The 26,508-nt window shown below is 43.3% G+C and overlaps 1 pseudogene, besides 1 other annotated feature; it reads left to right on the top strand.

Moving 5' to 3' along the window:
- Window positions 8,951–9,451: an enhancer, noted in NCBI's record as "H3K4me1 hESC enhancer chr6:29747845-29748345 (GRCh37/hg19 assembly coordinates)". NCBI's record gives its function as "activates a minimal SCP1, AML or CMV promoter by ChIP-STARR-seq in naive H9 embryonic stem cells {active_cell/tissue: H9 hESC(naive)}" and the evidence as "EXISTENCE:reporter gene assay evidence [ECO:0000049][PMID:30033119]".
- LOC353010 (HLA complex group 26 (non-protein coding) pseudogene) lies at window positions 23,223–24,403 on the top strand (annotated as a pseudogene).

Here is a 26,508-nt window from a genome sequence, read left to right as displayed (position 1 = left end):
TAATGTGTAATACTACATCCTCTTTTGTGAAAATGTGTTAGTTATTTACTATTGCATAACAAATTATGTAAAACTTAGCAGCTCAAAATGGCAAATATTCATCATCTCCCGCAGGTTCCAATGGTCAGGAATCCAGGAGAGGTTTCCCTGAGTGCTTCTTGCTCAGGGCCTCTCACAAGGTTGCAGTCCAGTTGTCAGCCTAGGCCTGCATCATCTGAGTGCTTCACTGGGACTGAGGATTCACATGAAACATGGATGGGTCACATGGCTGTTGGAAAAGCCCTAGTTCCTTGTTTTCTGTTCCCAGAAGGCCCCAGTTCTCAGCCACATGGACCTTCCTTCAGGGCTGCTTATGGCACAGCAGGTGGCTTCCCCCAGAGCTCATGATTCCAGAGACATTGAGAGAGAAGGGGGAGGCTGCAGTGAGTTTTATGTTCTACACCCAGAGTCACAAACTCTTATGTCAGCATTACCAGTTAGAAGTTGTATTAGTCCGTTCTCACATTGCTATAAAGAAATACCTGAGACTGGGTAATTTATAAAGGAAAGAGGTTTAATTGACTCATAGTTCTGCATTGCTGAGAAGGCTGCCCCATGAAACTTACAATCATGGCAGAAGTGGAGGCAAACACGTCCTTCTTCACATGGTGGCAGGAGAGAGAATTGCAGATCGAAGTGGGGAAAAATACCTCATAAAACCATCAGATCTCATGAGAATTCCCTCAGCATCATAAGAGCAGCATGGGGGTACCATACCCGTGATCCAATCACCTCCCAGGAGGTCCCTCCCCCGATACATAGGGATTACAATTTGCATGACAATTCAAGATGAGAATTTGGTGGGAACTCAGAGCCAGACCATATCAGAAATGCATCATTAAGTCCCAGCCACACTCAAGAGAGGAAATTAAGCAGCATCTCTGGAAGGGAACAGTATTAAAGGATTTGAATATATATTAAAAGCAAATTTAAAACTCTTGTTTCAGGATTTTGAAAATCAAAATTTTTTTATCTAATTATTTTTCGTTAACCCTTTTAGCTTGTCTTTTAATTTAATTTAATTTTAAGTTCCAGGTTATGTGTGCAGGATGCGCAGGTTTGTTACATAGGTAAATGTGTGCCATGGTGGTTTGCTGCACCTATCAAACCATCACCTATGTATTAACCCTGGCATGCATTAGCTATTTTTTCCTAATACTCCTCCCACCACTGCCCTCCCCCAGCAGGCACCAGTGTGTGATGTTCCTCTCCTTGTGTCCATGTGTTCTCATTGCTCATCTCCCAATTATAAGTGAGAACATGTGGTGTTTGGCTTTCTGTTCCTGTGTTAGTTTGCTGAGGATGGCTTCCAGCTTCATCCATATCCCTGCAAAAGACTGAATCTCATTCCTTTTTGTGGCTGCATAATATTCCATGGTGTATATGTACCATATTTTCTTAATGCAGTACATCATTGATGGGCATTTGGGCTGATTCCATGTCTTTGCTATTGTGGATAGTGCTGCAATAAGCATACACATGCATGTATCTTTATAATAGAGTGATTTATTTTCCTTTGGATGTATACCCTGTAATGGGATTGCTGGGTCAAATGGTATTTCTGGTTCTAAATCTTTGAGGAATCACCAAACTGTCTTCCACAATGGTTCAACCAATTTACATTTCCAGCAACAGTGTAAAAGCCTTCCTATTTCTCCACAACCTCGCCAGCATCTGGTGTTTATGTAGTTTTAAATAATTGCCATTCTGACTGGCATTAGATGGTATCTCATTTGTGGTTTTGATTTGCATTTCTGTAATCAGTGATGTTGAGCTTTTTTTCATGTTTTTTTGGCCACATGTACATCTTATTTTGTGAAATGTCTCTTCATGTCCTTTGTTCACTTTTTAATGAAGTTTTTTTCATGTAAATTTGCTTAAGTTCTTTATAGATTCTGAATATTAGACCTTTGTAAGATAGATAGATTGCAAAAATTTTCTCCCATTCTGTAGGGTGTCTGTTCACTCTGATAGTTTCTTTTTCTGTGCAGATGCTCTTTTGTTTAATTAGATCCCATATGCCAATTTTTGCTTTTGTGGCAGATGCTCTTGGCGATTTCATCATAAAATCTTTGCCCATGCCTGTGTCCTGAATGGTATTGCCTAGATTTTCTTTCAGGGTTTTTATAATTTTGTGTTTTACATTTAAGTCTTTAATCTATCTTGAGTTAATTTTTGTGTAAGGTGTAAGGAAGGGGTCTAGTTTCAATTTTCTGCATATGGCTAGCCAGTTCTCCCATCACCATTTATTAAATAGGGAATCCTTTCCCCGTTGCTTGTTTTTGTCAGGTTTGTTGAAGATCAAATGGTTGTAGATGTGCGGACTTTTTTTGTGAATTCTCTATTCTGTTCCATTGGTCTATGTGCCTGTTTTTGTACCAGTATCATGCTGTTTTGTTTACTGTAGCCTCACAGTATACTTTTAAGTGGGGTAGTGTGCTGCCTCCAGCTTTGTTCTTTTTGCTTAGTATTCTCTTTGCTATATGAGCTCTTATTGGATCCATATGAATTTTAAAATAGTTTTTTTTTCTAATTCCACGATAAGCTTATCTTTTAAAATTAATGATTAACTGTTTCAGACATCACAGAGCCTTGGGTGCTTAGGAGAAAACAGTTTGAAACAGAGAAAGGATATGCAACAGTAACTCTGAATTTTTCTTGTGAATACCTTTAATAACAATGTTGTTTTCAATTAGTTAACACAGTTGAGAACATAGAGTAACTAGATCAAATAGTTCCAAGACTTCAGTCTGATAAAAATAATGTCTTGAAAATAAGACTTTGTTTTGTCTAAGATATCTCAAATTTAGTGGAAGCACGTCCCAAGCACCAATTTTCTTATTGAAATATCATCTTCACTAAACATTTGCCTACACTTAAAAAAAAAAACAAAAACTCCGCTATATGGAGTAGCCATTCTTTTGTTTCTTTACTTCTCTAATAACTTGCTTTCACTTAGGAAAACATTGCCTAATCAAATTGCTTTTCATTTACAAAAGTGTGAATCTCATACTTCAGTCAACACATCTAGCTTAGCATGATGCCAATAACTTTGGTTTGATGCAGTAGCCTGAAATGGTTAGCTCAAATTGAGAAACAAGTTTTTTTCAAAAGCTAGCTATTTGGTGGGCATTACATAATAAACTTAACATCTTTTGCTCTGGTATTGAATGAGATGTGATAGAAGTCATTTGCACACCACTATGATTCTAAATAACACGGCTATTATGTGCTTCTGAAGCTTTTTTTCTTTTTATCAGTCCTATTCTGTTTTCCATTCATATTTGATATTCCATCACTGGTTATTCCTTCCTATTCTTTTCTTGTTTGATTTATTTTGATCAATTATTTGCATTTCCAATTCCGTAAAAGTTTAATTCAGTTGTATGTGTGGTAGAATGTAACATCAAATCCTTTGCAAGATGGAATTACCTTGCACAGCAGATTGAACATTGTATAACTGAAAATCTAGAGAGATGCCAGTCAGCCAAGGGTTAAATGACCTATTTTTAGCCAAGTCCATTTTCATGGCATCCTGGTCCTCTCTGTCACATGACTCCTTACAATTCTCTGTGGTTTGCTTCCAATGTAAGTAGTTCTTATTAAGGATCCTTGCAATTAACTTTGGTATTCTTTTCTCTTACATTTTTTTAAAATTATACTTTAAGTTCTATGGTACATGTGCATAACGTGCAGGTTTGTCACATATGTATGCATGTGCCCTGTTGGTTTGCTGCCCTCTTTAACTAGTCATTTACATTAGGTATTTCTCCTAATGCTATCCTTCCCCCATCCCGCCACCTGACGACAGGCCCCAGTGTGTGATGTTCCCCACCCTGTGTCCAAGTGTTCTCATTGTTCAATTCACCTATGAGTGAGAACATGCGCTGTTTGATTTTCTGTCTTCGCGATAGTTTGCTCAGAATGATGGTTTCCTGCTTCATCCATGTCACTACAAAGGACATGAACTCATCCTTTTTATGGCTGCATAGTATTCCATGGTGTATATGTGCCACATTTTCTTAATCTAGTCTATCATTGATGGACATTTGGGTTGGTTCCAATTCTTTGCTATTGTGAATAGTGCCACAATAAACATACATGTGCATGTGTCTTTATAGTAGCGTGATTTATAATCCGTTGGGCATATACCCAGTAATGGGATGGCTGGGTCAAATGGTATTTCTAGTTCTAGATCCTTCAGGAATTGCCACACTGTCTTCCACAATGGTTGAACTAGTTTACAGTCCCACCAACAGTGTAAAAGTGTTCCTGTTTCTCCACATCCTCTCCAGCACCTGTTGTTTCCTGACTTTTTAATGATCGCCATTCTAACTGGTGTGAGATGGTATCTCATTGTGGTTTTGATTTGCATTTCTCTGATGGCCAGTGATGATGAGCATTTTTTCATGTGTCTGTTGGCTGCATAAATGTCTTCTTTTGAGAAGTGCCTGTTCATATCCTTTGCCCACTTTTTATGGGGTTGTTTGATGGGTAGACTGCAAAAATTTTCTCCCATTCTGTAGGTTGCCTGTTCACTCTGATGGTAGTTTCTTTTGCTGTGCAGAAGCTTTTTAGTTTAATTAGATCCCATTTGTCTAATTTGGCTTTTGTTGCCATTGCTTTTGGTGTTTTAGTCACGAAATCCTTGCCCATGCTGATTTCCTAAGTGGTATTGCCTAGGTTTTCTTTTGGGTTTTATGGTTTTAGGTCTAACATTGAAGTCTTTAATCCATCTGGAATTAATTTCTGTGTAAGTTGTAAGGAAGGGATCCAGTTTCAGCTTTCTACATGTGGCTAGCCAGTTTTCCCAGCACCATTTATTAAGTTTCCCAGCACCTTTCCCTATTGCTTGTTTCTGTCAGGTTTGTCAAAGATCAGATGATTGTAGATGTGTGGTGTTACTTCTGAGGCCTCTGTTCTGTTCCATTGGTCTGTATCTCTGTTTTGGTACCAGTACCATACTGTTTTGGTTACTGCAGCCTTGTAGTATAGTTTGAAGTCAGGTAGCGTCATGCCTCCAGCTTTGTTCTTTTGGCTTAGGATTCTCTTGGCAATGTGGTCTCTTTTTTGGTTCCATATGAACTTTAAAGTAGTTTTTTCCAATTCTGTGAAGAAAGTCATTGGTAGCTTGATGGGGATGGCATTGAATCTATAAATTACCTTGGGCAGTGTGGCCATTTTCATGATATGGATTCTTCCTATCCATGAACGTGGAATGTTCTTCCATTTGTTTATATCCTCTTTTATTTCATTGAGCAGGTTTGTAGTTCTCCTTGAAGAGGTCCTTCACATCCCTTGTAAGTTGGATTCCTAGGTATTTTATTCTCTTTGTAGCAATTTTGAATGGGAGTTCACTCATGATTTGGCTGTCTGTCTGTTATTGGTGTGTAAGAATGCTTGTGATTTTTGCACATTGATTTTGTATCCTGAGACTTTGCTGAAGTTGCTTATCAGCTTAAGGAGATTTTGGGCTGAGATGATGGGGTTTTCTAGACATACAGTCGTGTCATCTGCAAACAGGGACAATTTTACTTCCTCTTTTCCTAATTGAATACCCTTTATTTCCTTCTCCTGCCTAATTGCCCTGGCCAGAACTTCCAACACTATGTTGAATAGGAGTGATGAGAGAGGGCATCCCTGTCTTGTGCCAGTTTTCAAAGGGAATGCTTCCAGTTTTTGCCCATTCAGTATGATATTGGCTGTGGGTTTGTCATAGATAGCTCTTATTATTTTGAGATACGTCCCATCAATACTTAATTTATTGAGAGTTTTTAGCATGAAGGTTGTTGAATTTTGTCAAAGGCCTTTTTTGCATCTATTGAGATAATCATGTGGTTTTTGTCGTTGGTTCTCTTTAAATGCTGGATTATGTTTATTGATTTTCGTATGTTGAACCAGCCTTGCATCCCAGGGATGAAGCCCACTTGATCATGGTGGATAAGCTTTTTGATGTGCTGCTGGATTCGGTTTGCCAGTATTTTATTGAGGATTTTTGCATCTATGTTCATCAGGGATATTGGTCGAAAATTCTCTTTTTTTGTTGTGTCTCTGCCCGGCTTTGCTATCAGGATGATGCTGGCCTCATAAAATGAGTTAGGGAGGATTCTCTCTTTTTCTATTGATTAGAATAGTTTCAGAAGGAATGGTACCAGCTCCTCCTTGTACCTCTGGTAGAATTCGGCTGTGAATCCATCTGGTCCTGGACTATTTTTGGTTGGTAAGCTATTAATTATTGCCTCAATTTCAGAGCCTGTTATTGGTATATTCAGAGATTCAACTTCTTCCTGGTTTAGTCTTGGGAGGGTGTATGCGTCGAGGAATTTATCCATTTCTTCTAGATTTTCTAGTTTATTTGCATAGAGGTGTTTATAGTATTCTCTGATGGTAGTTTGTATTTCTGTGGGATTGGTGGTGATATCCCCTTTATCATTTTTATTGCATCTATTTGATTCTTCTCTCTTTATTAGTCTTGCTAGCGGTCTATCAATTTTGTTGGTCTTTTCAAAAAATCAGCTCCTGGATTCATTGATTTTTTGAAGGGTTTTTTGTGTCTCTATCTCCTTCAGTTCTGCCCTGATCTTGGTTATTTCTTGCCTTCTGCTAGCTTTTGAATGTGATTGCTCTTGCTTCTCTAGTTCTTTTAATTGTGATGTTAGGGTGTCGATTTTAGATCTTTCCTACTTTCTGTTGTGGGCATTTAGTGCTATAAATTTCCCTTTACACACTGCTTTGAATGCATCCCAGAGATTCTGGTATGTTGTGTCTTTGTTCTCGTTGGTTTCAAAGAACCTCTTTATTTCTGCCTTCCTTTCATTATGTACCCAGTAGTCATTCAGGAGCAGGTTGTTCAGTTTCCATGTGGTTGAGCAGTTTTGAGTGAGTTTCTTAATCCTGAGTTCTAGTTTGATTGCACTGTGGTCTGAGAGACAGTTTGTTATAATTTCTGTTCTTTTACATTTGCTGAGGAGTGCTTTACTTCCAACTATGTGGTCAGTTTTGGAATAAGTGCGGTGTGGTGCTGAGAAGAATGTATATTCTGTTGATTTGGGGTGGAGAGTTCTGTAGATGTCTATTAGGTCTGCTTGGTGCAGAGCTGAGTTCAATTCCTGGATATCTTTGTTAACTTTCTGTCTCATTGATCTGTCCGATGTTGACAGTGGGGTGTTAAAGTTTCCCATTACTATTGTGTGGGAGTCTAAGTCTCTTTATATGTCTCTACGGACTTGCTTTATGAATCTGGGTGCTCCTGTATTGGGTGCATATATATTTAGGATAGTTAGCTCTTCTCATTGAATTGATCCCTTTACCATTATGTATTGGCCTTCTTTGTCTCTTTTGATCTTTGTTGGTTTAAAGTCTGTTTTATCAGAGAGTAGGATTGCAACCCCTGCCTTTTTTTGTTTTCCATTTGCTTGGTAGATCTTCCTCCATCCCTTTATTTTGAGCCTATGTGTGTCTCTGCACGTGAGATGGGTTTCCTGAATACAGCACACTGATGGGTCTTGACTCTTTATCCAATTTGCCAGTCTGTGTCTTTTAATTGGAGCATTTAGCCCATTTACATTTAAGGTTAATATTGTTATGTGTGAATTTGATCCTGTCATTATGATGTTAGCTGGTTATTTTGCTCATTAGTTGATGCAGTTTCTTCCTAGCCTCAATGGTCTTTACTATTTGGCATGTTTTTGCAGTGGCTGGTACCAGTTGTTCCTTTCCATGTTTAGTGCTTCCTTCAGGATCTCTTGTAAGGCAGGCCTGGTGGTGACAAAATCTCTCAGGATTTGCTTGTCTGTCAAGGATTTTATTTCTCCTTCACTTACAAAGCTTAGTTTGGCTGGATTTGAAATTCTGGGCTGAAAATTCTTTTCTTTAAGAAAGTTGAATATTGGCCCCTACTCTCTTCTGCCTTGTAGAGTTTCTGCCGAGAGATCAGCTGTTAGTCTGATGGGTTTCCCTTTGTGGGTAGCCCGACCTTTCTCTCTGTCTTTCCTTAACATTTTTTCCTTAATTTCAACTTTGGTGAATCTGACAATTATGTGTCTTGGAGTTGCTCTTCTTGAGGAGTATCTTTGTTGTGTTCTCTCTATTTCCTGAATTTGAATGTTGGCCTGCCTTGCTAGATTGGGGAAGTTCTCCTGGATAATATCCTGCAGAGTGTTTTCCAACTTGGTTCCATTCTCTCCGTCACTTGCAGGTACACCAATCAGATGCAGATTTGGTCTTTTCACATAGTCCCATATTTCTTGGAGGCTTTGTTCATTTCTTTTTATTCTTTTTTCTCTAAACTTCTCTTCTCACTTCATTTCATTCATTTGATCTTCCATCACTGATAACCTTTCTTCCAGTTGATCGAATCAGCTACTGAAGCTTGTGCATTCATCACTTAGTTCTCGTGCCGTAGTTTTCAGCTCCATCAGGTCCTTTAAGGACTTCTCTGCATTGGTTATTCTAGTTAGCCATTCATCTCATCTTTTTTCAAGGTTTTTAACTTCTTTGTCATGGGTTCGAACTTCCTCCTTTAGCTCGGAGAAGTTTGATCGTCTGAAGCCTTCTTCTCTCAACTCATCAGAGTCATTCTCCTTCCAGCTTTGTTCCATTGCTAGTGAGTAGCTGCATTCCTTTGGAGGAGGAGAGGCACTCTGATTTTTAGAATTTTCAGTTTTTCTGCTCTGTTTTTTCCCCGTCTTTGTGGATTTATCTACCTTTGGTCTTTGATGATGGTGACGTACAGATGGGGTTTTGGTGTGGATGTCCTTTCTGTTTGTTAGTTTTCCTTCTGACAGTCAGGACCCTCAGCTGCAGGTCTGTTGGAGTTTGCTGGAGGTCCACTACAGACCCTGTTTGCCTGGGTATCAGCAGCGGAGGCTGCAGAACAATGCATATTGGTGAACAGCAAATGTTGCTGCCTGATCTTTCCTCTGGAGATTTTGTCTCAGAGGAGTACTCGGCCGTGTGACGTGTCAGTCTGCCCCTACTGGGGGGTGCCTCCCAGTCAGGCTACTTGGGAGTCAGGGACCCACTTGAGGAGGCAGTCTGTCTGTTCTCAGATCTCAAGCTGCATGCGGGAGAACCACTACTGTCTTCAAAGCTGTCAGACAGGGACATTTAAGTCTGCAGAGGTTTCTGCTGCCTTTTGTTTGGCTATGCCCTGCCCCCAGAGGTGGAGTCTACAGAGGCAGGCAGGCCTCCTTGAGCTGTGTGGGCTCCACCCAGCTCGAGCTTCCTGGCCGCTTTGTTTACCTACTCAAGCCTCAGCAATGGCGGGCACCCCTCCCCCAGCCTTGCTGCCGCCTTGCAGTTTGATCTCAGACTGCTGTGCTGGCAATGAGCGAGGCTCTGTGGGTGTAGGACCCTGCGAGCCAGGCATGGGATATAATCTCTCGGTGTGCCGTTTGCTAAGACCATAGGAAAAGTGCAGTATTAGGGTGGGAGTGACCTAATTTTCCAGGTGCCATCTGTCACCCCTTTCCTTGGCTAGGAAAGGGAATTCCCTGACCCCTTGCGCTTCCTGGGTGAGGCGTGGCCTCGCCCTGCTTTGGCTCACACTTGGTGCACTGCACCCACTGTCCTGCACCCACTGTCTGACAGTCCCCAGTGAGATGAACCTGGTACCTCAGTTGGAAATGCAGAAATCATTCGTCTTCTGCATTGCTCACCCTGGGAGCTGTAGACTGGAGCTGTTCCTATTCCCCAAATTAATTTTTGTTGACTGAATAAATGAAATATGAGTGTATTAAAATTTAATTTCATCACAGAAAATTATAAAATAAACAATACTGGAAAAGATTGAGAAAGTTTTTATTTTATGTAACTAGTGTGCATATCAATTCATAAATTCATTCCATTTGTCTGTTGAGACTGTACGAATTTTATGACTGCATAACAAATTATCACAAATATTGGCTTTAAACAATACCCATTTATTTAATTAATTCATTTATTTTTAGAGAAATGGTCTCTTTCTCTCATCCATTTTGAAGTGCAGTCACACAGTCATGGCTCACTGCAGCCTTGAAATCCTGGGCTCAAAGGATCCTCCTGGCTCAGTCTTCAGAGTAACTAGAACTACAGGCAAATGCCACCACGCCCAGCTAATTAAAAAAAAATTGTAGAGATGAGGGTCTCATTGCATTACCCAGGCTGGTCTCAAATTCCTGAGTGTAAGTGATCCTCCTGTGTAAGCCCCTCAAATGTTAGGATTGCAGGTGTGTGCTACCACACCTGCCCAAACAACATCCACTGATCTGTTTACAGTTCTTTAGGCAGAAATCCAGGCATGATGTAGACGGGGTCTCTATTCAGGGCTTCCCAAAGCTGTGTTTTCATTTTGAATCCTCCTTCAAGCATATATAGAGGCGGCAGAATTCAGTTTCTGACAGTCGTTAAGACTGAGTTTCCTGTTCCCTGCTAGCTGTCAAGGTAGAGAGGAGGGAGGGCTGTGCTCAATGCCTGGAGCCAAACAGCATTCTTTTCTAGTCAGCCCCTTCAATTTCAAAGCCCACAGTGGAGGAAACCCCTCACACTGAATCCCTCTCACACTGTGAATCTCTATGCTCAGGAAGAACCCAGTCCTTTCATGGGCTCACCTGATTAGGAGTGTCCAAGCAGGCTAAACCCAGCCTCAAGTCAACTGATTGAGGACCTTGATTATATCTGCTAAATCCCTTCACAGCAGCACCTACAGTAGAGTTGGTTGAATAATTGGGGGAAGGTGGATGACCAGGAGGTGGTTGTTGGGACTATTATAGAATCAGCCTAGCAAGGGTTGGATTTTCCTTTTGTGTTTAATTGTGACACAGTTGGAAATTGAAGTTCAAGTAAAGCGATCATTGTGAATGATAATAAAATACATCCTCTTCAGCCATGGAGATTCACCTTACCTCTTAAAATCAAGTGACAGGTTTAATAGCTTATAATTAATTCATGCCAGGTGTGGTGGCTGGCACCTACAATCCTAGCACTGTGGCGGGCAGAGGAAGGCAGATCCATTGACTCCAAGAGTTTGAGATCAGCCTGGGCAACATGGTGAAACCTCCATCTCTACAAAAACATTAGAGTATTATCCAGGCATGGTGGTTCATGCCTGTAGTCCCAGCCAGCTACTCAGGAGGCTGAGGTCAGAGGATATTTGAGCACAGGAAGTCAACACAGCAGTGAATGGTGAACATGCCACTGCACTCTAGCCTCTGTGACAGAGCAAGATGCTGTCTCAAAAATAGTAATAATCATGATCATAAATTTAGAGCAAATGAAAATTGAAGTGCAATAAATCATCCTCTCTTATGAAAATGTATTAGTTATTTACTATTGCATAACAAATTACATAAAACTTAGCAGCGCAAAACAACAAACATCATCTACCGCAGTTTCCAATGGTCAGGAATCCAGGAGCAAGGTTTCCCTGAGTGCTTCTGGCTCAGAGCCTCTCACAAGGTTACAGTCCAGTCCAGGGCTGCATCATCTGAGAGCTTCACTAGGGCTTGGGATTTACAAGAAACATGGCTCACTCACATGGTTCCTTGTTGTCCGGTCCCAGGAGGCCTCAGTTTTTAGCCACATGGACCTTCCTGCAGGGCTGCTTATGGCACAGCAGTTGGCTTCCCCCAGAGCTCATGATCCCAGAGACAGAGAGAGAGAAGCTGCAGTGAGTTTTATGTTCTACACCCAGAGTCAAAAACTGTTATATCAGCACTACTCTATCAGTTAGAAGTTGTATTTGTCTGTTCTCACACTGCTATAAAGAAATACCTGAGACTGGGTAATTTATAAAGGAAAGAGGTTTAATTGACTCACAGTTCTGCATGACTGAAGAGGTGGCCTCAGGAAATTTACAATCATGGCAGAAGGGGAAGGAAGCATGTCATTCTTCACATGGTGGTGGGAGAGAGAAATGCAAGGTTGTCGGGGGCGGGGGTGGCAGGGAAGACTCTTGCAAAACCATCAGATCTCATAGAACTCACTCACTATCATGAGAACAGCATGAGGGAACCATCCCCATGATCTAATCACTTCCCACCATGTCTTTCCCCTAGCACGTGGGGATTACAATTCAAGATGAGTTTGGGTGGGGACACAGGGTGAGGCCATATCAGAAGTGCATCATTAAGTCCAAGCCGAACTCACAGGGAAGGAATTAAGCTGCACCATTGGAAGGGAGGAGTATCAAGGGATTTGCATACATGTTGAAAGCAAAATTAAAATTATTATTTCAGGATTTTGTAAATCAAATGCTTCTTTCATGTGATTATTTTTCTTTAATGCTTTAAGCTTCTTTTTAATTTTTATTTTAAGTTTCAGGGTACATATGCAGGATGTGCAGATTTGTTACATAGGTAAACGTGTGCCATGGTGTTTTGCTACACTTATCAACCCAGCACCTAGGTATTAAGCCTAGCATGAATGAGCTATTTTTCCTAATGCGCACCCCACCTCTGCCCCCCCCCCAAAAGGACACAGTGTTCCCCTCCCAGTGCCCATGGATTCTCATTGCTCAGCTCCCAATTATCAGTGAGAACATGCAGTGTTTGTTTTTCTGTTTCTGCATTAGTTTGTTGAGGATAATGGCTTCCAGCTTTTTCCATGTCCCTGCAAAACATGATCTCCTTCCTTTTTAAGGCTGCATAGTATTCCATGGTGTACATGTCATATGTTTTCTTTATCCAGTCTATTGTTGATGCGCATTTAGGTTGATTCCATGTCTTTGCTATTGTGAGTGGTGCTGCAATGAACATACACATGGATGTAACTTTATAATAGAATGATTTATATTTCTTTGGGTATATACCCAGTAATGGGATTGCTGGGTCAAATGGTATTTCTAGTTCTAGATCTTTGAGGAATCGTCATATTGTCTTCCACAATGGTTGAACTAATTTACATTCCCACCAACAGTTAAAGCATTCCTATTTCCCTGCAACCTTGCCAGTATCTGTTGTTTCTTGACTTTTTAATAATCACCATTCTGACTGGCATGAGATGGTATCTCATTGTGGTTTTGATTTGCATTTCTCTAATGACCAGTGATGATGAGCTTTTTTTCATATGTTTGTTGGCCACATGTATGTCTTCTTTTGAGAAGTGTCTGTTCATGTCATTTGCCCACTTTTTAATGGGGTTGTTTGTTATTTTCTTGTAAATTTGCTTAATTTCCTTGTAGATTGTGGATATTAGATCTTTGTCAGATGGATAGATTACAAAAATTTTCTTTCATTCTGTAGGTTGTCTGTTCACTCTGATCACAGTGTCTTTTCCTGTGCAGAAGCTCTTTAGTTTAATTAGATCCCATTTGTCAGTTTTTGCTTTTGTGGCAGATGCTTTTGGCGATTTCATCATAAAATCTTTGCCCATGCCCAGGCAAATGGTATTGCCTAGATTTTCTTCTTGGGTTTTTATAGTTTTGGGTTTTACATTTAGGTCTTTAATCCATCTAGAGTTAATTTTTGTGTAAGATGTAAGGAAGGGGTCCAGTTTCAGTTTTCTGCAAATGGCTAGCCCGTTTTCCCAACATCATTTATTAAATATGGAATCATTTCCCTGTTGCTTGTTTTCATCAGGTTTGTTGAAGATCAGATGGTTTTAGATATGCGGTTTTATTTCTGAGTTCTCTACTCTCTTCCATTAGTCTATTACCATGCTGTTTTGGTTACTGTAGCCTGTAGTATAGTTTGAAATCAGGTAGTCTGAGGCCGCCTGCTTTGTTCTTTTTGTGTAGGATTGTCCGGGCTATATGAGCTCTTTTTTGGTTCCATATGAATTTTAAAATAGTTTCTTCTAATTCTGTGATAAGCTTCTCTTTTTAAATTAATGATTAAAAGTTTGAGACATCACAGAGCCTTGGGTGTTGTGGCGAAAACTGTTTGAGACAGAGAAAGAGGATACAATAGTATGTCTGAGTTTTTCTTGCAAATACCTTTAATAACAATATTCTCTTCAATGAGTCAACAGTTGAGAACCCAGAGTAACTAGAGCAAATATTCCAAAGACTTCTGTGCCGTAAAAATAATGACTTGAAAATAAGTCTTTGTTTCAACTAAGGTGTCTCACATTTAGTTGAAGTATGCCCCAAGTGCCAATTTTCTTATTGAAATATCATCTTCAAAAAACATTTGCCTACACTTAAAAAAAAGGGCTGTTGTGTCTATTGAGTAGCCATTCTTTTGTTTCCTTACTTCTCTCATAAACTTGATTTCACTTTAAAAAATTTGCCTAATTGGTTTTAATTTACAAAAATGTGAATCTCATACCTCAGTTAACACATCTAGCTTAGCAAGATGTCAATAGCTTTGGTTGGATGCAGTAGCCCAAAATGGTTAGCTCCAACTGAGGCATAAGATTTTTCAAAAACTGGCTATTTGGTGAGCATTCTATAATAAACTTAACATCTTTTGTTCTGGTATTGAATCAGATACGATAGAAGTGATTTGGACACCACTATGATTCTAAATGGCACTGCAATTTTGTGCTTTCAAGTTTTTTTGAGCAATCCTGTTGTGTTTTCCATTCATATTTGCTATTCCATCACTGGTTGTTCCTTTATACTCTTTTATTGTTTCATCTATTTTGATCAATGATGTGCATTTCCAATTCTGTAAAAGTTTAATTCAGTTGTATGTGTGGAATATGTAACAAATCAAATCCTTTGCAAAATGGAATTACCTTGCACATCAGATTGAATCTTGTATACCTGAAAATCTAGAGAGATGCCTGTGAGCCAAGGATCATATGGCCCTTTAGCCAAGGGTATTGTCATGGCATCCTGTAAGGAGCCTCTCTGTCATGTGGCTCCTTACAATTCTCTGTGGCTTTCTTCCAATGTAAGTAGTTCTTGTTAAGGATCCTTGCAATGAACTTTGATATTTTTTTCTTTCATTTTTTAAGAAACAGGTATATTTTAGTTTGAAAAATACTGTTTAAGGAGTTATAATCTAGTAGTTACCTGGGTTCCCAGCACTGGCATAAGACACAGAACCCGCAAAGCCACCCTGGGCTGCTGCCCAATCACATCCCCCAGAATGAGACCCCATCCTGAGTCTTGTTTTTATTATTACTTTGTATTTCTTTAAATATTTGTACAATAAGTATATATAATCTCAAACCAAATATTAGTTTCACTGGTTTTTAAGCTTCCTGTACAGAAATTCCTACTACATTTCTTTTCTCATGATGCACATTATGTATAGGAGTTATCTGTTGTGTGGGAGGCTGTCATTCACTCATTTTTACTGCTGAAGGTTTACATTTTATGGTTATACCACAATTTCACTACTTTGCTATTGATGTATAGGAGGCTGATTCCAGTTTTTGCCATAAACATTAGTGTGCATGTCTCCTGGGCACATAGGCGAGAAAGCCGCCAGAGTGTATGATTAGGAGTGGGATGGTTGGATGATATGTTGTATGGCCTTTAACCATACTAAATAATGATAATATGATTTCCAAAGTAATTGTGCCAACTTAAGCTTTTACAATAAATGTGTAATATGTGATGTTGATGTGTTCTGAAAACACTGAGTTGAAGGAATTAAGAGTTAATAGCAACTGCCTTGGCTGCAGAATTATAGCAGATTTTTTTTTTGACGGAGTCTTGCTCTGTCGCCCAGGCTGGAGTGCAGTGGCACAATCTCGGTTCACTGCAAGCTCCACCTCCTGGGTTCACGCCATTCTCCCGCCTCAGCCTCTTGAGTAGCTGGGGCTACAGGTGCCCGCCACCACACCGGCTAATTTTTTTTTTGTATTTTTAGTAAAGACAGGGTTTCACCGTGTTAGCCAGGATGGTCTCTATCCCCTGACCTCGTGATCCGCCCGTCTAGGCCTCCCAAAGTGCTGGGATTACAGGCATGAGTCACCATGCCCAGCCTATAGCAGGCATTCTTATTCAGACTCTGTTAATAACTTCCTGTTGTTAACTTGTATCCTATATACCATGGCTTTATACTTTTAACATATAGATTCAGAAAATGTTTCCTTATAGTACAAACACATAGGGTTATTTTATATGTCAGAATATGTCATAATAAAAAAGAAAAAAATGGAGGAAAGGAGAGAAAGAAGGAGAGAGGAGTGAAGGAAGCAAAGAAGGAAGGGGAAGAGAAGGAGGGAGGGAGGGCAAATGGAAATAGAAAAGAAAGAGAGGGAGGGAGAGATAGAAGTGAGAAGAAAGGGAAGGAATAAAGGAGAAAAGAAACGAAAATAAAGAAAAAAACAGGCGTAGAGAAACTAGGAACCCAATATATGGCTAATATTATCAAAATGGGAGGAAATAAAACGGATGTATTTAACCTCTATAGAATAACAGAAATGTAAGAGGGCTTCATTAGTTATCCATTGCTGTATAACAAACTACCCCCAAATTTAGTGACTTAAAGCAACAAACATCGACTATCTCAAAAGCATAATACAAATACTAGCAAAATGGAGCCAATGCAGGTAGAAGTTGAACAAACAAAAGGATTTTACAAATTGGAGTAAGTAAGAGGTCACTGGTGTGCAGATGAAAATGATTTTGCATTCCAAGTGCCATCATGGGATTAAAGTTACAGGATTTTATTAGGGGACACACCTGTCAGAGATATAGCAACGGAGGCAGGTTACCCTGGGAAAGGCAACAGACCAAGATGCAAATGTGACCCCCAGTGATGGACAGAAGGACAGAAGGTTTACTGGATGTGTCCTAGACCACAGGCAATCTCAGGAGAGTTGAGCAAAGCCATGGAGGAGTCTTTGAGCCACTGCTGTCCGTCAGAGGAGTCCCTGGTCTCCCAGGAATGTCCTGCCTCAGTGTCACTGGTGTGACCCATCACTGGCTGGGAACAGCCCATGGGAAGCAGGGTCTCTGCACCAATGACACTGAGGATGTCAGAGCACAGGAGTGGGGCCTTGGGTGATTACCCAGGAGTGTGGCTCAAACCTCCTGTCCTGAGAGGTCTGGGCCCTTGGAAATCAAATCCTCTCAGGCTGGATTGCTGGATGATTCTGCTCACATTTACAAAGGGACAAGGCAAACCAGAAGGCCCCCAAGTAGATCTCTGGTTCTCACACACACACTTCTGCCCTCATTGTGTGAAAGTAGCCATGCCTCCTCCTGGAGATCAGGATCTATTACCTGCACCTGGAGAGGAAGAGACTCCTTTTCTCACCAGCTGGTCTCTGGGCACATACTGTCCAAACTTCTCTGGTGACAACCATAATGTGTAGTTCAATGGGCTGTCATGTGTCTCTTTTTAAGGACCTCCTGCCCTGAACAGCCCAAAGTTGGGAGATAAAACGTGCAAAATACCCCAGTGGGTGAATCTAAGAGACTGGACATGGAGACAAACCTGCTTCCAACTTTCGGTTTCTAGACCCACATATTCTTCCTATTGAGAACACAGCACCGTAGAGATGTCTCTGATTCAAACAATGCACCATGTCCTGAAAAACGGCCCCCACCCCTCAGAGTGCTTCCTCCAGGATGACACTGAGTTTTGCCTGTAGAAGACATTTCCAGCATTCCTTGTGGCTGGCAGCCCCTGGGTGGTGCAGATGGTGATCAGATCAGTGAAACCCATAGCCACGGAAACACTGGAACTTTCCCTGCCAAGTGGGTCCTTCAGGCAGATACTGGGTTGGGAGCACCACCTAGCCTGTGGATCAGGAATGTCAACAGCACCCAGAGAGTGGTGCTGGCTGAGTGTCCGAGAGCAGGACAGGAAAACTCACCCATGGAATATGAGCCTACCCCTGTGAAGATGAACCTCAGGCCCTTCTAGGATGGAAGTAGCTAAATGTAGTCAACTTGTTACATAGTGGCTAGTTAGTCACCTAAAGAAATAGTGCCCCACTAGGGCACATGGTGGGCCTCAAATGCTGATGAGTTGGACATTCAGAGGTGGCAGCAGCTGGATCTGTCTTGATAATGGGGAGTCAGTACTTCTGGCCCCATATGTAGCCTCATGCCTGCCACTGTGCTTGCTCCATTCATGTGCCCATCCTACCAGGCCTGCATTGACCCATAGTGAAGGCTGGCTAACTTCCATTTGTCTGTTTGGTTGTTCAGTGCTGCTTCAGACTTGGGTGTTTTCTGGGGGTGTCAACATGGGATTCAAGCACAACCCAGGTGGACCATTTTCACCTCATGATGAATGCTGTTGGGCCTGTCCAATCTATGACTTTCTGGGTCACACAGAAGCCAATTCACACAGGTACTTGGAATCACATCGTTGCTTGGTGTCCTGTGGTTAAGCATTCTATCGAATCAGGACCAGGAACACTAAAAGTTGCTTCTAATGGGGAGCCATGTCTCTGCTGTGGATGACATGATCTTACTCCAGATCCCAGGCCCTCCACCATGACTCTCCCACTGCTGCTTGGTTCAGCTCCATCCTGCATCTTTCCCCACCCCTGCCCCTTCCAGTACCAAGAGGTCTGAGGGATGGTGGCTGCACCGCAGCCTGTATCTGCTGCAGGGTGCTTTCCTGTGTAGGCCTCACTTGAAGCTGGCCTCCTCCTATGTCACCTAGAGTGTGGGCCAAAGCAACATTTCTACATGTGGAATGTGCTGTCGTCAGAACTCCAAGAGGCTCACCGGAGAGTGTGCTTTCTTTTTTTGCAGTAAGGATGCAAAATGCAACACTTTGTAATTTACCTAGGAGGGGACACCCCTGGCATTCCCCTAAACACTGGACTCATAAAACTTCACTACAGTGACCTTTCCTGAAGCTCTGTAAGGTTTATCTTCACCTTCTGAAGTGCAAATGTTTTGCCAACGATGCCAGTGCACTTTCTACCTGCTGCTCATTCGCCCCAGTCAACATGAAGTTGTAAATGAAATGAGCTGATTTAATATCCTTTAGGATATCCAGTATGTCTAGTATAGTCATAAGACTATACTATAGAGGACAGGGGAGTTACAAAAGTCCTGAGGCAAACTATAATTCAATGTGTTGTGGATCCCACATGAATGTGAATCACTCCATATCCCCTTTGTAATTGGAATGGAAAGAAATGCACTCACCAAATCCACAGCTGCACACTGTGTGCCCAAGGCTTTGTTAATCTGCTCTACCAGTGATATCCAGACAGCACAAAAGCTGCACTTATAACTCCTACTTGGCCATATCTGGAGTAATCTCATTCATTCTTTAGGCCTCACTAGGCTTCCTCAGGGACAGATTGCTGGATTACACGGAGACAATAGGCAGCCTCAACACCACCCCGCCTCCTTCAGCTTTGTAATGGTGGTGTGACCCCCACAATACTTGCAGTGTCCTTCACAAGACCCACGCTGGGACACACTATGATTTTTGATTTGGCCAGGATGGGGGCAGTTTCAGAGGTTTCCCTTTGGCCTTTGGCATCAAGAGATCCCTTATACCACAGACTGGGGACCCAGTGTGGGGGTGACTCCACTTACCAGAGCATCAGTGTCAATTATGCACTCAGGGAATTGGAAGATAATCAGGGTTGGGTCTATGCATCCAGTGGTCCCATTGCGGGCCATAATGTGTCCAGGTTTACTCCCTGGCCTCCGTAAGCCCCACTGTGATGGAGAAGATGATTGTGCTGTGGGCATCTGGGCATCAATATCAGCTTACATGCAATGAAAATGATCCCCCCTAGTTCTGCCTATTTCCCTTCCCCAATGTACAGTCTCCTGAGTAAATGGCTATAGGTTCCCTTGCTGAAAGACTGAGGGAATTGTCCCAGCCATATATCTCCATGGTGTCCCAGGGTCCTTTCTCTAGGGATATGGACTCCTCCTCTGTCACTGAGATCTGAGTCTGAATCTTGATTGAGGTCTAGGCATTGAGAAGGGGATCATGGCTTTGTATTTGGTCGAACACCCTCAGTCTCCTGCTCCTCAATTCTTGCTTTCTTATCATATATATCAAGCAGTGCCCTTGTTGGCTGCCTCTTGTAACCCTGGTGTCCTCTCTACTAACTTTCCCCACACTCCCTGCAGCTTGAGTCCCCTTGGCTGCTCCTCTGAGGTTGCCATGGTAACCATGCCCTCCGGCTTTTGCAGGTCACTGCCACCACTTGTTCTCAGTCTCTTCAGGCCCACATTCTCCCCAGAGATATGAATAAGCACAACTCTGGGACCTTTACTATCATCCCCCCCAGCCTGCAGAGGATAACACCCCGACACTTCTTAGTGATGCAGGTCCCTCTCCACAGCATGTTCCTGAGGCTCTGGTGGAAGGTGTGCCCTCTGGGTCCTCTTGTGGAGCATGGTCCTGGTGGGCCTTCATCACGCCCACTTCCCTCAGCCTTGTTATTGCATCCTCTACATGTTCCAGGATAACTAGGTCATATCTACCTTGTTGAGAGTTGGGCATCATTTTTTCCAGTCTATATGGACTCACCCCAGTAGTGGGTTTACCCCATGTCCTGGGTTCTTTGATAAACCCATGTCCTGAGAAAGTGCCTCCAAGCCAAAGGATTTTTATTCATCCAGACTGAAATTCTAGTTTATTGATCAAATGCCCTCAAATTCCAATCCCAGAAGTGCACCCCAGGCCCCTATGGGGACATGCTGGCTAGTTCCTGCAAAGCTCCTGAGTGGGATTCCTGCTGCATCGTAGGAGTGAGGCTTCTGTAGCATCTTTCAGCATAGGAAGTGGGAACGATTACTAGAGAAGGGTGAGCCTCCTCTGCATGCCCAGGGGTTCCTGGAGGAGGGCACCCATCAGATAACTCTGTTCTAGTTTGCAGAATCTGAGGTTCCCCCACCAGGGCCCTGACTTTCCTATAAAAGGCCTGTGTTGGCTGAGTATCAAACGTCTCTGGAGCACTGTGCCCACCATAATGATGTTCAGCTACCATTCCATGCTATCTGCTCTTTTGATCCAGGAGATAAAGGCCTCTCCATGAGACACTGCAGAGACTCTCACACATAGCCAGTGACAGCTGTTAACAACCTGCAGATTCTCATTATCCTTTTATAGAGCATCAACACAGCTGGGAAGTAACCAGCCAACTCCACTGTCTTTGTGGGTTTACCCCCAACTCCATCATTATTGTGCAGGGCATTCTATCACCACATCTGCCATAGCTTCCCCTAACCAGAGCATCTTCTCAGGTTAGCACTGGTGAGACCCACGGCAGCTCAGATGCAACTTCTCTATGGACTTTCTTTGTCCCCCGCTAACCTAGATGGCATCCTCTTGGCCTGACAGGCAGTGGGAAAGCTTATTTCAAATTTCCAGTTTTGGTCATTTTCATGGATCACCCTTGATACCACTTGTGATAGCTGCGGTCCTGAACTTAGACCCCAATACAGTATTAAATGTGTAAGGATTTATTAGGGGAAATAGTTGTGAGAGAAAATCAGGATAGAGACAGAAATGCTGGAAAAGCCATCAGATCACAATGCAACTCTGAGTCCCAGTGAAGGAGAGAGGGCAGGAAGGTCAGCTGGAAGCATCCTAGACCCTGTGTAGGCTAAGGGAAGCTCAGTAGGGATGGCAGGGAGTCCTGGAGCCTCAGCCAGCCTTCAGAGTAGGAATATTCTTGCCTTAGTTTTCCTGCTTTGGTCAATCATTGGTTGGAAAAAGCTGGGGCAGGTGTGGTCTCAGATCAAATGTGACAATAGATTTCAGGCTGCGACAGCTGGGACATCATCAATTATTCTTCCTCTACCTGAGGGCCTGGGATGTGCATCCTCATGAGTGCCACAATGATCCACTGGAATAAAAGGAAAAGGGATGACAATAGAGGGAAAAAAAAGGTATTAATTGATGAACTAACACTTTAAGTAGATGAGAAGGGATGATGTTCAGGGCACCAGCAGAGGAACTGGCTCTGGCTGGGAGCAGGATGGTTAACACACAGCAATCCCCCATGTAGTAAAATGCCTGACATGTGGTGCAGCTGCAAATGCATGAGCAGACGGTGGTGGAATCTGTGAAGTTGTCTTCTAAATGTGTTCAGTTTTCTCAGTGAAGTAGGAAGCAAGATCATCAGCGGAAGTAAGAATGGGGAAGGAAGATTGGATGTGTGAGGACAGAGAGAAGGTATGTAAGAGTCACCCAGGCCAGGAGGAGGCTGAGAGTGAGCCATGCAGGGAGAGGGTGATTGCTGGCTATGGTGGGGGCTCCCCATGAGGTTTGGGTCGTGAATGTAGAGAGAACAGTCAGCATGCTGTGTGCTGCTCTCCAGCCTCCTGCAGCTTATGGGGGCAGGTGCAGTGTAGGCTGAGGTGGAATCCACTAGCTGTGTAGTTTTGCCAGGCAAGTGTGACAACGAAAGGGAGAGGCAAGGGAGGGATGGAAATTATTTACTACAGAATCCAAAATGGATGAGGAGGGAGGAGAGGACAACAAACACTAAGGGAGAAGGAATAGATAGCAGCATCACTGGATTGGGAATTTCAAGGGGGTGGAAAAATTATTGGAATAGATGTACTACAGAATGGACTCCATGCCTGGAAAGCAGGCACACATGCAATGAGTGGTTCACTGATGTTACATTATAGCATATGATCAAATTATAGCATCAGTGTCTTCAGAGCCTGTGGCTACCCTGCAAGGGGATGAGTGGAAAGATGGTCAGAGAGTGGGAAGTGTGAGATTGAGAGTGTGGAAGGGCTGGGGTTCTTTGCCATGATGAGGCCTAGGGGAGGACAAGGTCCTGAGATTCCGGCAGAGAGAGGAGATGGTAATGAAGAAAAGGAGTTCCAGGATCTGAGAGGCCAGGGAGTGAGGGCATCTTCTCTGCTGTATAGGTGTCTATTGCTGCCATAAAAATTACCACAAACCAAGCAGCTTTAAACAGCACCTAATTATCATGTCACAGTTGTGTGGGTTGCAAGTCCACCCAGTCTCACGGGGCTAAGATCAAGGTATGGGCAGGTCTGTGCTCCTTCCTGGAGAATCTGGGGAAGAGTCCACATCCAAGCTTATTCAGGTTCTTGTCTGAATTCACTTCCTGCAGATAGAACTGAGCTTCCCACTTCCTTTTTGGGAGCACCCTTAGATCCTAGAGACTTCTCTCTGGTGCCTAAAGCACATCCAATCCTCCTGCTTGGAACCACTGATCTCCCCTTTGCTGTGTCTCCTCTGCCTTCCTTCTCTGCAGCATGTGACTCCATCTAGAGCAGATTCTCTCCTTTTAATGGCTCATGTGATTTGATCGGGCCCACACAGAGAGTCCAGGATGATCTCCCTACTTTAAGGTCCTTTATCTTCATTACATGAGTAATGTCCCTTTTGCCATGCAATGCAACCTGTTCACCGACTCCAAGGACTAAGACTGGATCTCTTTGGGGACTAGTACTCAGCCCAGCACATCTGCATATGTTGAAGTCAGAAAGAATCAAGGAGACAGCACTGCTGGAGAGGGTGACAGTGATCTAGGAGCTACAAGAGTTAGGATTGACAGGAATGGCTTGGGGCCCACAGGGAATGGCTACAATGAGGGGAGCGGCGCCTTAGTCTGATGACAGCTTAGGGGTTTTAGGGAGGAGGGAGGCAGAAAGGTCTGAGAACCACAGTGAAGAGCAAGGACCCCACCTCACCTCTGAACCCAGGGGTATAAGTTGCTGGGAAACTCCCCCATGTAGGGGAACTTCAGAGCGGGTCACATCCTCAGGAAGACCTGGTTCCTGCTAGAGCTTCGAGGTGAGGGAGCATCCTGAGAGAGAATGAGGAGGTTTTGCTGATCATGGACTGAGGATTCCAGATTCCAGGGAGTACAGAGGGAAGATTTCTGGAGTTAGGTAGGGGACATGGTGGGGGGACAGAATAGAGCGTGCGGAGCCTTGTGGGGATGCAAGTGCTGGGTATATGGGGGACCCAGTGTGACTGACACAAACAGGGAAAGGGCATGAGGAGCTCAGTCCTGGTGGACTCGAGGCAGACGATGGTGCTGAGGCTGTGGGAGATGAGGGAGGAGGAGCAGGCATGGCTGTCACCTGGGCTCTCTCCATGGAGGTGAAGACAGTGAGGTGGTTGGGTCTTAGTGCTGTGTGGACCTTCTGATGACTGGATGGAGTGTCTGAGGGAGGAGGGGTCTTAGAGGATTCACTCGTGACCCTGAGGGAGGGTATGTTCTCACTTCAGGTCTCAGGTGTGCCCTGACACCTTTCTTTGTGGCTTAGGGCTCCCTACTGTAAATTATTGGGGATTAGTACCTTTTGGAATTTGTAACTTAAAGCAGAAACTCAGATGGTCGAAATGTCATTTTCATGAAGGTTTGTTATTAGCGTATCATTTAGATTGTCTTGCAAAAGTCTCATTTTTTGTTGTTTTTCTAAAGGGCTGTCGATCTTGTTTTAAATTTACAAATATTGATAATTTATCTCCACTCTTAATTGGTTGGGGGTTGTTTAATTTTGTACTGCATAGTTTTACATATCTATAACAACAGTGGTTTGGGCCTCTTATGTTCTAATAATTAAGACTTTAAGCTGTGTACACATTGCAATTCAAGTATGAGTCATGCATAACCCTGGCACTAAGAGACAAGAGGGAAAGTCCTTCTCTCCTAAAATTTTGCAAAGGTTCTGGGTTCTTTTTCCACTGAGTGGGAACAAGTCAGCTAGTGAGGAACATGAGGTCTTTGGCCTCATCGAAAGGTGATTCATCTCCCAACTGTGAGAAGCACTGACCACTAGGAAGACCTCCCTGCCTGGTCCCTGGACCCCTACACCATGGTAGAGGCTATCTTCCCTCCCACTGCAGAGTGATATCCCAGATAGCAAGCTGGTTAGCTGCTGCCAGCTCTTGGGTAGTTTTGTCTTCTAAGGCATGGGTTTTTATCTGAAAATCTTCCCCTTCCCAGATGACCCAAACTGGGGCCACCCACTCTTTTCTGAGCCACCTCTGCCCAGAGACCTGTGGCTATGCCCTCCAGTCACAACAGAACATCCTTTCAGAACACCTTGCAGGAAGCTGAGATCTCTACAGACTCACATGAATGGTGTGTGCACAGAGCTTTGGTTCTAGTTCAGGAGGTGTGGAGTGAGGCTCGCTAATCCAACAGAGCTTGAGGCTAGTACTAGTGTCATATGCCAGGAGGCAAGGTTACAGGGAATACAAAGTGTCCAGACCTACCAGAGAAGGCAAACCCCTGTAACAGGCAGGGCTAGACAGGGACAAGAAACAAGGTCATTCTGGGCCAGCAAGAAGAGGGAAAGGGAAATTACAGACATATCTCAGAGAGATTGCAGATTTGGTTTCAGATCATGCAAACAAAACAAGTCACACAATTTTTTTGTTTTTGTAGTGTACATAAAAGTTATATTTATACTTTAGCCTATTAAGTATACAATAGCATTATGTATAAAATAGATATGTACATACCTTAATTAAAAATTACACTACTGCTAAAAAATGCTAACAGTCATCTGAGGCTTCAGCTAATACTAATGTTTTTGCTGGAGTAGGGTCTTGCCTCAATGTTGATGACTGCTGACTGATCACAAGGTGGCTGCTGAAGGCTGCTGTGGCAACTTCTTAAGACAACAAAGTTTGTGGCATGGATTGTAAAGTGGGAATTAGTACATAAGTAAGGTCAATATGAGTTTTCAAGTCAAGTGGACCTGAATATGAACCCTTCAGGCCTTTCCACCAGCTAGCTATAGAACCCTGGGCACATCTGGCCCACAATTGGCCCTGACAGACACTTTCACAGTGAATGAGTGCTGAATGAAACCATATGAGTCAGTTTCCTCATCTGCAAACCAGTGATGTAATTCCTGCCTTGCCAATTCAGAAGAATACATGAGAAGAAACATAGTGCCAAGAAAAACAGACACAAGACCTGTGGAAGGCTGGGCACCAGTGCTCTAAAGCAAGATCTGCCTAAACTGGCAGGAACATTTTTCACAGCAGACAGGAGTTGGTCTGGATTCTGTCTGGGGCCAGGCTGAGAGGGAGGTGGGGGCAGCAGAACGGGACAGGGGCAGGGGCCTATGCAGGGCCAGGCACTGAAGCAAAGCCCAGGCCTGGAAGGGCGGGCTCCTGATGTCTGCTAGGAAACTCAGACAGCTCCCTGCCTCACCTGCCATGGTGTTTCCTCTTCCAGGATCTCTCGGAGCTGTTGCCTACACTTTTCCTGCCTTGGAAAGTGGAGATGATAACGAAAAGCTGTTGCCAAATTAAAGGAGGCTATTGCCTCCTCTCCCCTCCTGGTCCCTAGCACTCCAGGACTCACAAAGATGCTGCTCTGAAAACCCCAAGGCAAGCGTGGAAGAGTAGAACAGCTCCAGGGGCAGTGGGAAGATGAGGGCACCCCCGCATGTTGACGGACACCAAGGGTGGGGGTGGAGGAGATGAAGGGGATCAGCACAGGAGTCTGGGGGAAATCCTCTAAATCCCACCCTGCACCAACCTCACCCCTGCAGCTCCTTGGGTAGTTACAGCTCTCAGCTCTCAGCTCCTTCCCAACCACACCCCAGCCCAGACCTCAGGGCTCCTCCCTCTCCCCACCCCCTCCAGAGCAGCACAGTCCACAGAGCCCTTGAAAAGGAATTCCCCCTCATCTAAC

The sequence above is a fragment of the Homo sapiens genome, chromosome 6, assembly GCF_000001405.40.
Source record: "Homo sapiens chromosome 6, GRCh38.p14 Primary Assembly".
Classification (NCBI taxonomy): Eukaryota; Metazoa; Chordata; class Mammalia; order Primates; family Hominidae; genus Homo; species Homo sapiens.
Note: the sequence above shows the minus strand (reverse complement) of the source record. Positions and strands in the feature narration are given on the sequence as shown.